Consider the following 14908-nt stretch of genomic DNA (forward strand, 5'->3'; position numbering starts at 1 on the left):
CCCTCAGGTGGGAAGTGGTGGAGGTGGGAGTCAGACCCCAGACCCTGTCACCCCTTCAAGACCAGTGCTGGAGGGCCCCTTTTGACGACTTTCTCTTCACCAAGCGTCTTGCCCTGCATATGTCACACAGTAGGCACCCAGTGAATATTTACGACGGAATGGAAAAAACAAGGGCCTGGAGGGAGAGACCTGGGTTCAAAACCTTATTTGTACAGCTTTGCAGGGGACCTTGTGGTGGAGGTGCGGTCCTAAATCCCTAAACACTCAGTTCCTTTGTCATATACAGCTGATAACAGTAACTCCCCGGTCAGAGGACCGGCGACAATTCCTTGAGACAAGGAGCACAGAGCCTGGCACAGTCAGCCCTGATCAGGGGCCGGTAGGACAAAGAGAGGGAGACAGAAACACACACCCAAACGGCTTGAGACTGCTAGGTGCTTCACCTTCCTGGGCCTGTTTCTGATGAGGAGGGTTTGTTTATTAATAATAAGTGCTATTTCTGTAGCCCCTACTATGTGCTCTGTATCACTACCCTAGCCCTCCATCAAGAGGGATCTGCCCTCTCATCTGGCTGACCCCAAATCGAACCCTTTAACCCGCATGCTCTACTGCCTCCCTGCGGGCCCTGCCTTATCCTCCTCAACCGCCCACTGGGGACACTCTGGAGAAACCTCGGAGTCTTGGAATAGAAACCCAGGAGCCCTGAGCCTTGGCCCTCAGGCCCCAGGAGGGAGGTCAGGAGGGAGGCGTGGACAAGGGTCCGGCCGTAGCTGGTCCCGTCCTGGAAGCTGCTTAAGTTCCTGGTTCCCACCGGGGCCAAGAGTGATACCTGATCCTGGGGGATTGTGAAATGACCTCATGTGGCAGCCCGCCCGCGGTGCCCGCAAAGCCCTCCACCCTCCCCTTCCCCGCTCGGCTCCACCCCTACCCCACGCCCCCTCCCGCGCGCGCGGTTAAATCCCCGCACCTGAGCATCGGCTCACACCTGCACCCCGCCCGGGCATAGCACCATGCCTGCTTGTCGCCTAGGCCCGCTAGCCGCCGCCCTCCTCCTCAGCCTGCTGCTGTTCGGCTTCACCCTAGTCTCAGGTGAGTGGGGCGGGGAGAGGCCCGGCGCCTAGAGGGGCCGAGCCACGAGCGCCAGGATGGAGCCAGGCGGAGGCGTAGCCTCTGGAGGCTGGGGAAGTGGGAATTCCGGGGGCGGAAGTGGCGGGGACCCTTGGAGCCTAGGGTGTGGGGTCCAATGTGCTGGAGGTGGAGAGACCACTGATGGCTGCAATTTGGGAGGATTCTGTGCTGAACGCGGACACTCCGTGGCTGCAGTGGGCTGGGGGTGGGGGCTGCTCTGCCTCGACCTCGGAAGCTCCGAGACGCTCAGCTGTGCGGCGTCCCCTAGGGCTGAGATCTGAGGGCCCCGACGCCAAGGGTTAGGGAGCTCTCGTACTCCCAGGGGTCAGGGACTCCTGGTCTGGAAGAAGGAGTCTCTGGGGGCTGTAAGGGGACTCCTAGGGCCAGAGACTGAGAATTCCTTGGGGTTAAGGTTTGGAGCAGGAGGTGGGCATCCTCTGGGGCTGGCGCTACGCCCCACCCTCGACTGTCCCGGGCCTCCCCTCCCAGGCACAGGAGCAGAGAAGACTGGCGTGTGCCCCGAGCTCCAGGCTGACCAGAACTGCACGCAAGAGTGCGTCTCGGACAGCGAATGCGCCGACAACCTCAAGTGCTGCAGCGCGGGCTGTGCCACCTTCTGCTCTCTGCCCAATGGTAACCCCACGGCGGCCGAGCGGGAACGGGGCGGGGCCGCGCTGGGCTGGGAGGAGGTGGGAGGGCCCGGGTTCCGGGAACAGGGGCGCCCCCGGACCCGGGGACCCCCGGGAAAGTCAAGGCGGTTGAAACCAGATCCGTCAGTCCTCTCCCTCGCACGGCCCAGGGGTAGACAAAGGCGTCGTTGAAACGCAGCCAAGGGGGGGTCCCCACCCCTAGCTGGGATTCGAGTCTCTGGTGCATGACGGGCTTCCGGGCACGCACAGCCGGGACATTGTTCCCCGCGGCCTGGGGACCCGGGGCCGCAGTTTCCTTCTCGAACCGGCCGAAGCCTGCCCTGCGGGAAAGCCCGGAGCCTGGGGCGCTCACCTCTCCTCTTGGAGTCCCTCCCTGGGGGCCTCCCCCAGCCCTGGGGAAAGACTGGGAGAGCCTGGCCTGGCAAGATTTTCCCCAATTCCTCTGTCCAGGCGGAAAGGAACTTTACAGATTTAGGAAAATGCCCCGCTCATCTTAAAGATGTGTAAGGGAGCATCGGTGAGAAAAAAATGTTCTTGCCCAAGGTCACACCGCCATCCCATGGCTGCTGGAGTCATAGTGAGGGTTCAGCTTTTGCCTTTCAGGCCAACTGGCTGAGTGATTCGAAGAAAGTGAGGAATCCTCCCTGGACACTGTATCGCCCTTCGTCGTCTTTCAGTCAATCTCTTCCACTCTAAGGATTGAGTGAGCGCGAGCTGGGGACTCTCTCAAAGGTGCTTGCTGGAGCTGCAGTCTCCACCAGGCTATCAGAACAGGGGGTGGCTTAAACAGCATGGAATCTCAGCTTTCCGTTCTCCAGAGGAAAATGCTGAGGATTAGAGGCAGGGATAGGACCTGGAGAGAACCAAGGTACTGTAATGATGTTCTTTATCCAGAATACAGCCCCTGTGACTTTTCCTCTCTGTTATTTCCTTGAAGATGCCAGCACAGGCTGGGAAGGTTTGTAATACGGTGACCCAAGACACCGATCAGCAGGGAGGTGGTAAGTGGAGGGGGACTGGCAGCCCACCAAGGGCAGCTTCAAGGTCATGAGTCCCCTCCTCTGGGCCAGGGAGAGGAGGACCAGAAGGAGAGAGGAAGATTTGGAGAGAAAGCAGGCAGCAGCCAGATGAGAGAGGTGGAGGAGCAAAGGAGGGAGTCTTTGCTGTTTGATGGATGAAGAATTTGTTCCCTTATCTCAGATGGACAGACTGAGGCAGGAAGAGGGACAAGGTCAGATGGCCTCCTGAGCCAGGGAGGCAGCCTGGAGGTTTGAATCCTAGTTCTGCCATTTTCTAGTTATGTGATCCTGAGCATGTTGTTTACCTCTCTGAGCCTCTGCTCTAAGATGGGAATAATTCCAAACTCTATAGGATTGGCATGAGGACTAAATGAAATAATGCATCTAAAGTGTCTATTAGTGAGAAGATACTCCATACACAGTGGCTTGTTTTGATCATAAATGGTTCCCTATTTATTTCCAGGGCAGCCCAATATTACAGGTTCCTACTCCTTTCAAGAGAATGAATTTCTTTGTATTAGGAAGTCAAGACTGTTGGCAACTTAACAACATTTTTTTTTGTATTTATGCTTTAAGTTCTGGGGTACACGTGCAGAACGTGCAGGTTTGTTACATAGGTATACATGTGCCATGGTGGTTTGCTTCACCCATCAACCCGTCATCTACATTAGGTGTTTCTCCTAATGCTATGCCTCCCCTAATTCCCAACCCCCCGACAGGCCCTGGTGTGTGATGTTCCCCTCCCTGTGTCCATGTGTTCTCATTGTTCAACTCCTACTTATGAGTGAGAACATGCGGTATTTGGTTTTCTGTTCTTGTGTTAGTTTGCTGAGAATGATGGTTTCCAGCTTCATCCATGTCTCTGCAAAGGACATGAACTCATCATTTGTTATGGCTGCATAGTATTCCATGGTGTAGACGTGCCACATTTCCTTTATCCAGTCCATCACTGATGGGCATTTGGGTTGGTTCCAAGTCTTTGCTATTGTGAACAGTGCTGCAATAAACCTATGTGTGCATGTGTCTTGGGCATTTGCGTTGGTTCCAAGTCTTTGCTATTGTGAACAGTGCTGCAATAAACCTATGTGTGCATGTGTCTTTATTGTAGAATGATTTATAATCCTTTGGGTATATACCCAGTAATGGGATTGCTGGGTCAAATGGTATTTCTTGTTCTAGATCCTTGAGGAATGGCCACACTCTCTTCCACAATGGTTGAACTAATTTACACTCCCACGAACAGTGTAAAAGCATTCCTATTTCTCCACATCCTCTCCAGCATCTGTTGTTTCCTGACTTTTTAAGGATCTCCATTCTAACTGGTGTGAGATGTTATCTCATTGTGGTTTTGATTTGCATTTCTCTAATGACCAGTGATGATGAGCATTTTTCATGTTTGTTGGCTGCATAAATGTCTTCTTTTGAGAAGCATCTGTTCATATCCTTCGCCCACGTTCTAATGGGGTTTTTTTCTCGTAAATTTGTTTGAGTTCTTGTAGATTCTGTATATTAGCCCTTTGTCAGATGGATAGAGTGCAAAAATTTTCTCCCATTCTGTAGGCTGCCTGTTCACTCTGATGATAGTTTCTTTTGCTGTGCAGAAGCTCTGTAGTTTAATTGGATCCCATTTGTCAATTTTGGCTTTTGTTGCCATTGCTTTTGGTGTTTTAGTCATGAAGTCTTTGCCCATGCCTATGTCCTGAATGGTATTGCCTAGGTTTTCTTCTAGGGTTTTTATGGTTTTAGGTCTTACATTTAAGTCTTTAATCCATCTTGAGTTAATTTTTGCATAAGGTGTAAGGAAAGGGGTCCAGTTTCAGTTTTCTGCATATGGCTAGCCAGTTTTCCCAACACCATTTATTAAATAGGGAATCCTTTCCCCATTGCTTGTTTTTGCCATGTTTGTCAAAGATCAGGTGGCTGTAGATGTGTAGTGTTATTTCTGAGGCCTCTGTTCTGTTCTGTTGGTCTATATATCTGTTTTGGTACCAGTACCATGCTGTTTTGGTTACTGTAGCCTTGTAGTATAGCTTGAAGTCAGTTAGCGTGATGCTTCCAGCTTTGTTCTTTTTGCTTAGGATTGTCTTGGCTATGTGGGCTTTTATTTGGTTCCATATGAAATTTAAAGTCGTTTTTTCTAATTCTGTGAAGAAAGTCAGTGATAGCTTGATGGGGATAGCATTGAATCTATAAATTACTTTGGGCAGTATAGCCATTTTCACGATATTGATTCTTCTTATCCATGAGCATGGATTGTTTTTCCATTTGTTTGTATCCTCTCTTATTTCGTTGAGCAGTGGTTTGTAGTTCTCCTTGAAGAGGTCCTTCACCTCCCTTGTAAGTTGTATTCCTAGGTATTTTATTCTCTTTGTAGCAATTGTGAATGGGAATTCACTCATGATTTGGCTCTCTGTCTATTATTGGTGTATAGGAATACTTGTGATTTTTGTACATTGATTTGTATCCTGAGACTTTACTGCAGTTTCTTATCAGCTTAAGGAGATTTTGGGCTGAGATAATGGGGTTTTCTAAATATACAATCATTTCATCTGCAAACAGGGACAATTTGACTTCCTCTTTTCCTAATTGAATACCCTTTATTTCTTTCTCTTGACTGATTGCCCTGGCCAGAATTTCTAATGCTATGTTGAATAGGGGTGGTGAGAGAGAGCATGCTTGTCTTGTGCCGGTTTTCAAAGGGAATGCTTCCAGCTTTTGCCCATTCAGTATGATATTGGCTGTGGGTTTGTCATAAATAGCTCTTGTTACTTTGAGATACCTTCCATCAATACCTAGTTTATTGAGTGTTTTAGCATGAAGGGTGTTGAATTTTATCAAAGGCCTTTTCTGCATCTATTGAGATAATCATGTGGTTTTTGTCATTGATTTTGCTTATGTGATGGATTACGTTTATTGATTTGTGTATGTTGAACCAGCCTTGCATCCCAGGGACAAAGCCAACTTGATCATGGTGGATAAGCTTTTTGATGTGCTGCTGGATTTGGTTTGCCAGCATTTTATTAAGGATTTTCGCACTGATGTTCATCAGGGATATTAACCTGAAATTTTTTTGTTATTGTGTCTCTGCCAGGTTTTAGTATCAGGATGATGCTGGCCTCATAAAATGAATTAGGGAGGAGGCTCTCTTTTTCTATTGTTTGGAATAGTTTCAGAAGGAATGGTACCAGCAACTCCTCTTTGTACCTCTGGTGGAATTCGGCTGTGAATCTGTCTGGTCCCAGACTTTTTTTGGTTGGTAGGCTATTAATTACTGCCTCAATTTTGGAACTTGTTATTGGTCGATTCAGGGATTCGACTTCTTCCTGGTTTAGACTTGGGAGGGTGTATGTGTCCAGGAATTTATCCATTTCTTCTAGGTTTTCTAGTTTATTTGCGTAGAGGTGTTTATAGTATTCTCTGATGGTAGATTGTATTTCTGTGGGATCAGTGGTGATATCCCCTTTGTCATTTTTTATTGTGTCTATTTGATTCTTCTCTCTTTTCTTTATTAGTATGGCTAGCAGTCAGACTATTTTGTTGATGTTTTTCAAAAACCCAGCTTGTGAATTCATTGATTTTTTTTGAAGGGTTTTTCATGTCTCTATCTCCTTTAGTTCTCTCTGATCTTAGTTATTTCTTGTCTTCTGCTAGCTTTTGAATTTGTTTGTTCTTGCTTTTCTAGTTCTTTTAATTGTGATGTTAGGGTGTCAATTTTGGATCTTTCCTGCTTTCCCTTGTGGGCATTTAGTGCTATAAATTTCCTTCTAAGCACTGCTTTAGCTGTGTCTCAGAGATTCTGGTATGTTATGTCTTTGTTCTCATTGGTTTCAAAGAACTTATTTATTTCTGCCTTGATTTTGTTATTTACCTAGTAGTCATTCAGGAGCAGGTTGTTCAGTTTCCATGTAAGGTTATGCGGTCTTGAGTGAGTTTCTTAATCCTGAATTCTAATTTGATGGCACTGTGGTCTGAGAGACTGTTAGGATTTCCGTTCTTTTGCATTTGCTAATTAGTGTTTTACTTCCAATTATGTGGTCAGTTTTAGAATAAGTGTGATGTGGTGCTGAGGAGAATGTATATTCTGTTGATTTGGGGTGGAGAGTTCTGTAGATGTCTATTAGGTCTGCTTGGTCCAGAGCTGAGTTCAAGTCTTGGATATCTTTGTTAATTTTCCGTCTCATTGATCTGTCTAATATTGACAGTGGGGGTTAAAGTTTCCCACTATTATTATGTCGGAGTCTAAGTCTCTTTGTAGGTCTCTAAGAACTTGCTTTATGAATCAGGGTGCTCCTGTATTAGGTGCATATATATTTAGCATAATTAGCTCTTCTTGTTGCATTGATCCCTTTACCATTGTGTAATGCCCTTCTTTGTCTCTTTTGATCTTTGTTGGTTTAAAGTCTGTTTTATCAGAGAATAGAATTGCAACCCCTGATTTTTTTTTGCTTTCCATTTGCTTGGTAAATATTCCTCTATCCCTTTATTTTGAGCCTATGTGTCTTTGCACTTGAGATGGGTCTCCTGAATACAGCACACCAATGGGTCTTGACTCTTTATCCAATTTGCCAGTCTTTGTCTTTTAACTGGGGCATTTAGCCTGTTTACATTTAAGGTTAATATTGTTATGTGTGAGTTTGATCCTGTCATTATGATGCTAGCTGGTTATTTTGTCTATTAGTTGATGCAGTTTCTTCATAGTGTCGATGGTCTTTACAATTTGGTATGTTTTTGCAGTTGCTGATTCCAGTTGTTCCTTTCTATGTTTAGTGCTCCTTTCAGGAGACCTTGTAAGGCAGGCCTGTTGATGAGAAAAATCCCTCAGCATTTGTTTGTCTATAAAGGATTTTATTTCTCCTTCATGTATGAAGCTTACTTTGGCTGGATATGAAATTCTGGGTTGAAAATTCTTTAAGAATATTGAATATTGGCCCCCACTGTCTTCTGGTTTGCAGGGTTTCTGCAGAGAGATCTGCAGTTAGTCTGAAGGGCCTCCCATAGTGGGTAACCCAACCTTTCTCTCTGGGTGCCCTTAACATTTTTTTCTTCATTTCAACCTTGGTGAATCTGATGATTATGTGTCTTGGGGTTATTCTTCTCAAGGAGTATCTTTGAGGTGTTCTCTGTATTTCCTGAATTTGAATGTTGGCCTTTCTTGCTAGGTTGGGGAAGTTCTCCTGTATAATATCCTGAACAGTGTTTTCCAACTTGGTTCCATTCTCCCCATCACTTTCAGGTACATCAATCAAACATAGGTTTGGTCTTTTCACATAGTCCCATATTTTTTGGAGGCTTTGTTCATTCATTCCTTTTCATTATTTTTTCTCTAATCTCATCTTCATTCTTTATTTCATTAAATTGATCTTCAATCTCTGATATCCTTCTTCTGCTTGATCAATTCGGCTATTGATACTTGTATAGGCTTCATGACGTTCTCGTGCTGTGTTTTTCAGCTCCATCAGGTCATTTATGTTCTTCTCTAAACTGGTTAATCTAGTTAGCAATTCCTATAACCTTTTTTCAAGGTTCTTACCTTTCTTGCATTGGGGTTAGAACATGCTCCTTTAGCTTGGAGGAGTTTGTTATTACCCACCTTCTGAAGCCTACTTCTGTCAATTTGTCAAACTCATTCTCCGTCCAGTTTTGTTCCCTTGCTGGCGAGGAATTGTGATCCTTTGGAGAAGAGGTGTTCTGGTTTTTGGAATTTTCAGCCTTTTTGTGCTGGTTTCTCCCCATCTTCGTGGATTTATCTACCTTTGGTCTTTGATGTTGATGATCTTTGGATGGGCCTTCTGAGTGGACGTCCTTTTTGTTGATGTTGATGCTATTCCTTTCTGTTAGTTTTCCTTCTAACAATCAGGCCCCTCAGCTGCAGGTCTGTTGGCGTTTGCTGGAGGTCCACTCCAGACCCTGTTTGCCTGGCTATCACCAGCAGAGGCTGCAGAACAGCAAAGATTGCTGCCTGTTCCTTCCTCTAGAAGCTTTGTCCCAGAGGGGCACCCGCCAGATGCCAGCCAGAGCTCTCCTGTATGAGGTGTCTGTCAGCCCCTGCTGGAAGGTGTCTCCCAGTCAGGAGACACGGAAATCAGGGACTCACTTGAGGAGGCAGTCTGACCCTTAGCAGAGCTCAAATGCTGTGCTGGGAGATCTGCTGCTCTCTTCAGAACCGGCAGGCAGGCTGAAGCCACATCCACAGCTGCCCCTTCCCCCAGGTGCTCTGTCCCAGGGAGATGGGAGTTTTACCTATAAGCCCCTGACTAGGGCTGCTGCCTTTTTTTCAGAGATGCCCTGCCCAGAGAGGAGGAATCTAGAGAGGCAGTCTGGCTACAGCGGCTTTGCCGAGCTGTGTTGGGCTCTGCCCAGTTTGAACTTCCTGGTGGCTTTGTTTACTCTGTGAGGGGAAAACTGCCTACTCAAGCCTCAGTAATGGTGGACGCCCCTCCCCCTACCAAGCTTGAGAGTTCCAGGTCAACTTCAGACTGCTGTGCTGGCAGTGAGAATTTCAAGCCAGTGGATGTTAGCTTGCTGGGCTCCATGGGGGTGGGATCCGCTGAGCTAGACCACTTGTCTCCCTAGCTTCAGCCCCCTTTCCAGGGGCGTGAATGGTTCTGTCTCACTGGCATTCCAGGCACCACTGGGGTATGAAAAAAAAATCCTGCAGCTAGCTCAGTGTCTGCCCAAATGGCCACCTAGTTTTGTGCTTGAAACCCAGGGCCCTGGTGGTGTAGGCACCCAAAGGAATCTCTTGGTCTGTGGGTTGTGAAGACCGTGGGAAAAGTGTAGTATCTGCTCCAGAGTGCACTATTCCTCACGGCACAGTCCCTCATGGCTTCCCTTGGCTAGGGGAGGGAGTTCCCTGACCTCTTGTGCTTCCCAGGTGAGATGATGCCCTACCCTACTTCTGCTCGCCCTCCGTGGGCTGCACCCACTGTCTAACCAGTCCCAATGAGATGAGCCACGTACCTCATTTGAAAATGCAGAAATCACCTGCCTTCTGCATTGATTCACTGGGAGCTGCAGACTGGAGCTGTTACTATTCGGCCATCTTGAAAGCTGAACCTAAATCTTTTTTTTTTTTGAGATGGAGTCTCGCTCTGTCGCCCAGGCTGGAGTGCAGTGGCATGATCTCAGCTCACTACAACCTCTGTCTCCCAGGTGCAAGCGATTCTCCTGCCTCAGCCTCCCAAGTAGCTGGGATTACCGGTGCATGCCACCACGCCCAGTTAACTTTTTTGTATTTTTAGTAGAGCGGGGGGTCTCGAGTCCTGACCTCCGATGATCCCACCCGCCTGAGCCTCCCAAAGTGTGGGATTACAGGCATGAGCCACTGCACCCGGTGATCTGTCAGCCACTTTCCTTGTCCTCTACAGCTAATCACCCAGTTCTGTGCCTGTGTTTTACACACAAAAACCTGCACATATTTATAGCAGCTTTATTTATAATTGCCAAAAGTTGGAAGCAACCATGATGTACCTCAGTTGATGAATGGATTTGGCTGGGCCTGGCTCCCCTCTATCTAACCTGGGAAGTGGAGTGTGATTGTGTGTGTGTTTGTTAGTGGAAGGACGTGTGGTTTCTCTCTGCATGGATGAATGAGTGTATTTGGAGGGTCATGGTGCTGAGAGACTGCAACTGGGATTCGGTCTGTGGGTATGAGTGAAGATTATAAGTGTGTAACCCCTCACATGTGTACTGTACTTTACACTTTAAGTGGCAGCATAGTGCTTAACCATGGCAGCAGCAGTTAACACATAGACTCTGCAGCTAGATTTCTTGGGGTTCAAATTCTGCCTCAATTCTGTGTGACCTTAGGCAAATTACTTAACTTCTCAGTGCCTCAGTTTCCTCACTTGTAACACAAGGAAATATTAACAGATCCCTCCCCTTCTTTTAGGATTATTGTGAGAATTAGAAGAGTTAATATATGTTAGGGGCTTGATACCTGGCATGTAATAAGAGCTAATTAAGTGTTCACTGTTATAATTTCTCATAACTACAGAGTAGTTTGATATTTCAGGGAGAAATAATATATGTTTGTTTCCCACTGCTTTCACAACAACCCTATGTTGTAATTAGCACTGTTCCACTGGCACCTAAAGACACGGAGGCTCTGGGAGATTTCTGGCCCTAGGCCACGAAGGCCCACTTGGGACTCAAGCTGAGGTCCTGTGATTCCATTTGGGAGCAGGAGGAGGGATTTGCAGGTGATCTTCCTGGGCCTCCTGAGAGCAGCTCAGGTGCCCAAGATGGACTCAGGCAGGCAGCTCTGCTGTATGTGAAGCCCAGTGAGGGGCAGTGGGGGGGCCATGCTGCAGGTACAAGTTAATCTCCCTGTATCGCCTCTGCCCACTTACCCTTACTCCTTTTTCTACCCAGATAAGGAGGGTTCCTGCCCCCAGGTGAACATTAACTTTCCCCAGCTCGGCCTCTGTCGGGACCAGTGCCAGGTGGACAGCCAGTGTCCTGGCCAGATGAAATGCTGCCGCAATGGCTGTGGGAAGGTGTCCTGTGTCACTCCCAATTTCTGAGGTAAGTGAACGGGAAAGAGAAAGTGCATTGATGGCCAGGTGTTGTGGGAAACAGGAGAAAACGTCACCCAGGCGGAGGTGAAGGGAGGTTAGTTGCAGGGACAGTTGGGAAAGGTATACCAGTGGGGTGACCCTCAGCCTGTTCTAAAAGAAGAGTGAAAGGTGGGTAGTCTGATGAGCTGCATTGGGGAGGCTGTCTCAGGCAGAGGGAACAGAATAAGCAAGAGCTTGGCTGGGTGTGGTGGCTCATGCCTATAATCCCAGCACTTTGGGAGGCTGAGGTGTGCGGATCACCTGAGGTCGGGAGTTCAAGACCAGCCTGACCAACATGGAGAAACCCCGTCTCTACTAAAAATACCAAAAAAAAAAAAAAAAATTTAATGGGTGTGGTGGCGGGTGCCACCCACCCGCTACTCAGGAGGCTGAGGCAGGAGAATTGCTTGAACCTGGGAGACAGAGGTTGTGGTGAGCTGAGATCACGCCATTGCACTCCAGCCTGGGCAACAAGAGCGAAACTCCATCTCAAATTAAAAACAAACAAACAAAAAACAGCTTGGTGGTACCCTTGGGTTGAAATCTCGTGGTTGTCATGTGCTACTTTTAACAATTTCTCAGCAAAGTAACCTGAAGATAACTGATAGAATCCAATAGTGCAGAGATGAGCAATTGAAATCTAGAGAGGGGGTGTGCTCTTGGTGCCCGAGAGGGAACTATGGTTTCTCTAAACTAAGCTATGGTCTCCCTGGAGCCAGGGCTCTCAGATGCCAACTGCATGGATAGGCTTTGCAGTCAAGAAGACCTTGGTTCAAATGTTAGCTCTGACACTTACCTAACCTTCTCACCTCCCTGAGTCACAGTTATCTCGCTTATAAAATGTAGCTAAATAAGATCTAATTGATCAGATAATCCCATTTTAACCTAAAGAAGAAGGCATGGCAGAACTTCCTAATAGTAGAAGGATTCTTGGGGAGAGAAATGGCCATGACCCCTCAGGAAGGCCACAGTGGACATCTGGGACCACAGTATACCCAGGTGCCTGCTAGGGATGGTCTGACCACAGTATACCCAGGTACCTGCTAGGGATGGTCTGAAGGAGAAGAGTATGTCTAGAACCTGTAGAAAATGCAAGCAGAGCCCCCAGAAGGTGAGGCTTTGCTGTGTGGGTGTGTGGGATGGGGTGGGGTCAAGGAGCTGGTCTAGGATTTAAGCTGCAGGTACTCCTGCCTAGTCTAATGGATATTGTTGTTGATGGTATTGTTATAATTTTCTTCCTCCAGCTCCAGCCACCACCAGGCTGAGCAGTGAGGAGAGAAAGTTTCTGCCTGGCCCTGCATCTGGTTCCAGCCCACCTGCCCTCCCCTTTTTCGGGACTCTGTATTCCCTCTTGGGCTGACCACAGCTTCTCCCTTTCCCAACCAATAAAGTAACCACTTTCAGCACGTTCTGTCTCTGTCTCCCCTGACTTGGGTTGAGGTGGGTGGGCAAGTGTTAAGGGTGTGACCAGATCATCCAGGCATGAAGTCCAGAGAAGGATCATCTGGTAGGTGTTAGCATTCTCCTGGTGGATCCCTGCATCAACCCTATGAATCTGGTCATTATTCCTCCAGGAGGATGGATGAGAAAAACGAGGCTCAGACAGGTGGTGGGGTGCTTCCAAAGTCACTCAGATTCATTGCTGGGGGTGCTGATAAGCAGCAGCATGCACCAGGTGCCAGACACGGTGCTGGGAGGTTTGCTTATGAGATCCTCTGGGTCCTCAAAACAATCCCCAGAGCAGTTAACAACATACCCCTGTCATAGACCTGGACTCCATGAGGTTACTTGCCAGTGGCCACACAGAAAGATGGCAATCCAGGATCCTCTCTTGTTGATACTTTAAGTCAAAGTTTTATTTTATATAAGTAATATAGTCATATGCATCCAAACTCAAAAGATTAAAAAAAGATATACAATGAAAAGTGTCTTTCACCCTTTATCCCCTGTCTCCACCTTCCACCCCAGCCACCAAGTTGTTTTCTATAAAGACAAAAAATGTTCTCAGTTTCTTGGGTTTCTTTTCAGATATGTATCCCCAGCTCTCAATCCTTTCTCTCTCCCTTCTCTATTTCTTCCTCTTTTCCTTTCTATTCCCCCTCTATGCCTCACTCTATTCTCTTTCTCTCTCCTCTATTCCTTCCTCTCCATCCTCCCCCTCTCCATACTCCCTCTCTTAATGCCCCTCTCTCTATGTACTTTCCTCTCTCTCCATAGTGTCCCCTTCTACTTCTCTCCCCACTCCCTATCTCTATCATCTCTTTCCATCTGTTAGAGTAGGTAGTTAGACATGAGCAGGACAGGAGAGGGCTCCCCCCTCACACGCCCAGGAATGTCAGGTGACGATCAGGTGATGGTCAGGTAGTGGTTAAACTGTCTCTCTAAAATGATCACTGGGCCGGGTGCAGTGGCTCACGCCTGTAATCCCAGCACTTTGGGAGGCCGAGGCGGGTGGCTCACCTGAGATCAGGAGTTTGAGACCAGCCTGGCCAACATGGCCAAACCCCATTTCTACTAAAAATACAAAAATTAGCCAGGCATGGTGGCATGCACCTGTAATCCCAGCTACTTGGGAGGCTGAGGCAGGAGAACTGCTTGAACCCGGAAGGTGGAGGTGGAATGAGCTCAGGTCACACGACTGCACTCCAGCCTGGGCAACAGAGAGAGACTGCATCTTATTTTTATTTTTTAAAGTTACAAATAAAAGTTTTCTTGGCTCTGAAAAACAAAGATCAGCAATGTTTTAAGTAAAAAGTCATAGAAGGGTTATTTTAGTCTTCTATTAGTTCAGTCTATGCAGTTAACACCTGTTCTGCTTGATATTCATAAACATTTCAGCTCTCCATGAGAGTCCTGAAAGTTTTTTCCTCGATTCTAATGTCACAATCTCCAAAGGTATCAGAAACCTGCATTCAAGAGCACCTGTCAAAGTCCTATAGCTGATTATAAACCACCTTTTGAAGAGAATCAAAACAAGACAATAATTGTGGGTGACAAAAAGTCTTAGGACAGCCACTACTAAAGCCACATTTGACAATTTTGGTTACTTCTGTGGCATACAATTTTACACAACAATTATAATTATTAATTACATACACTAAGCCATATCAGAATTACAGGACTTTCCAGTAATTTTGGAACATATACTAATAACATATTTATACAAATACAGCCCAAAGAAAGCCAAACACCATTTCATATTTGACAATGCTTCCTGTATGATTTTTATACCAAATAAGCCAAATATGTCATTTTTGGACTTTAGGGGACCTAATAGCTATAAGATTAATTAGGTCAGAAAAAGACATAATTTATAATTTGGTTTTGGAAAGTTTGTTACTATCAAAGGTTTAAAACACTTGATATTATAGAAGAGAATCATAGGCCACCATAAGTCATCTAGCCAAAATAACTCAAAAATTTTAAAAAGGCAAAAAACTTTATTCATGGAAAATCTTGTTCAAGAGAAAGCCAAATTTCACCTTTGCATTAGTGTACTATTAATATCAAACCCAATTCTTAGTAGAACCTTAGACAAATCTCTTCAATTTTA

At 46.6% G+C, this 14908-nt stretch overlaps 1 protein-coding gene across 1 annotated transcript, besides 2 other annotated features; it reads left to right on the top strand.

Annotated features, from left to right (window-relative positions):
• The first annotated feature begins 981 nt into the window (after positions 1-981).
• WFDC2 (WAP four-disulfide core domain 2) lies at positions 982-12761 on the top strand. Its single transcript, NM_006103.4, has 4 exons — positions 982-1089; positions 1618-1761; positions 11171-11323; positions 12600-12761. The coding sequence occupies exons 1-3, from the start codon at positions 1011-1013 to the stop codon at positions 11320-11322; spliced, it is 375 nt and encodes a 124-aa protein (NP_006094.3). The 5' UTR covers positions 982-1010; the 3' UTR covers position 11323; positions 12600-12761.
• Positions 1647-1836: a silencer, noted in NCBI's record as "silent region_12958". NCBI's record gives its function as "represses an Ori minimal core promoter by ATAC-STARR-seq in GM12878 lymphoblastoid cells {active_cell/tissue: GM12878}" and the evidence as "EXISTENCE:reporter gene assay evidence [ECO:0000049][PMID:35858748]".
• Positions 1857-1906: a silencer, noted in NCBI's record as "silent region_12959". NCBI's record gives its function as "represses an Ori minimal core promoter by ATAC-STARR-seq in GM12878 lymphoblastoid cells {active_cell/tissue: GM12878}" and the evidence as "EXISTENCE:reporter gene assay evidence [ECO:0000049][PMID:35858748]".
• Positions 12762-14908: the final 2147 nt, after the last annotated feature.

Source organism: Homo sapiens, chromosome 20, assembly GCF_000001405.40.
Source record: "Homo sapiens chromosome 20, GRCh38.p14 Primary Assembly".
Lineage (NCBI taxonomy): Eukaryota > Metazoa > Chordata > Mammalia > Primates > Hominidae > Homo > Homo sapiens.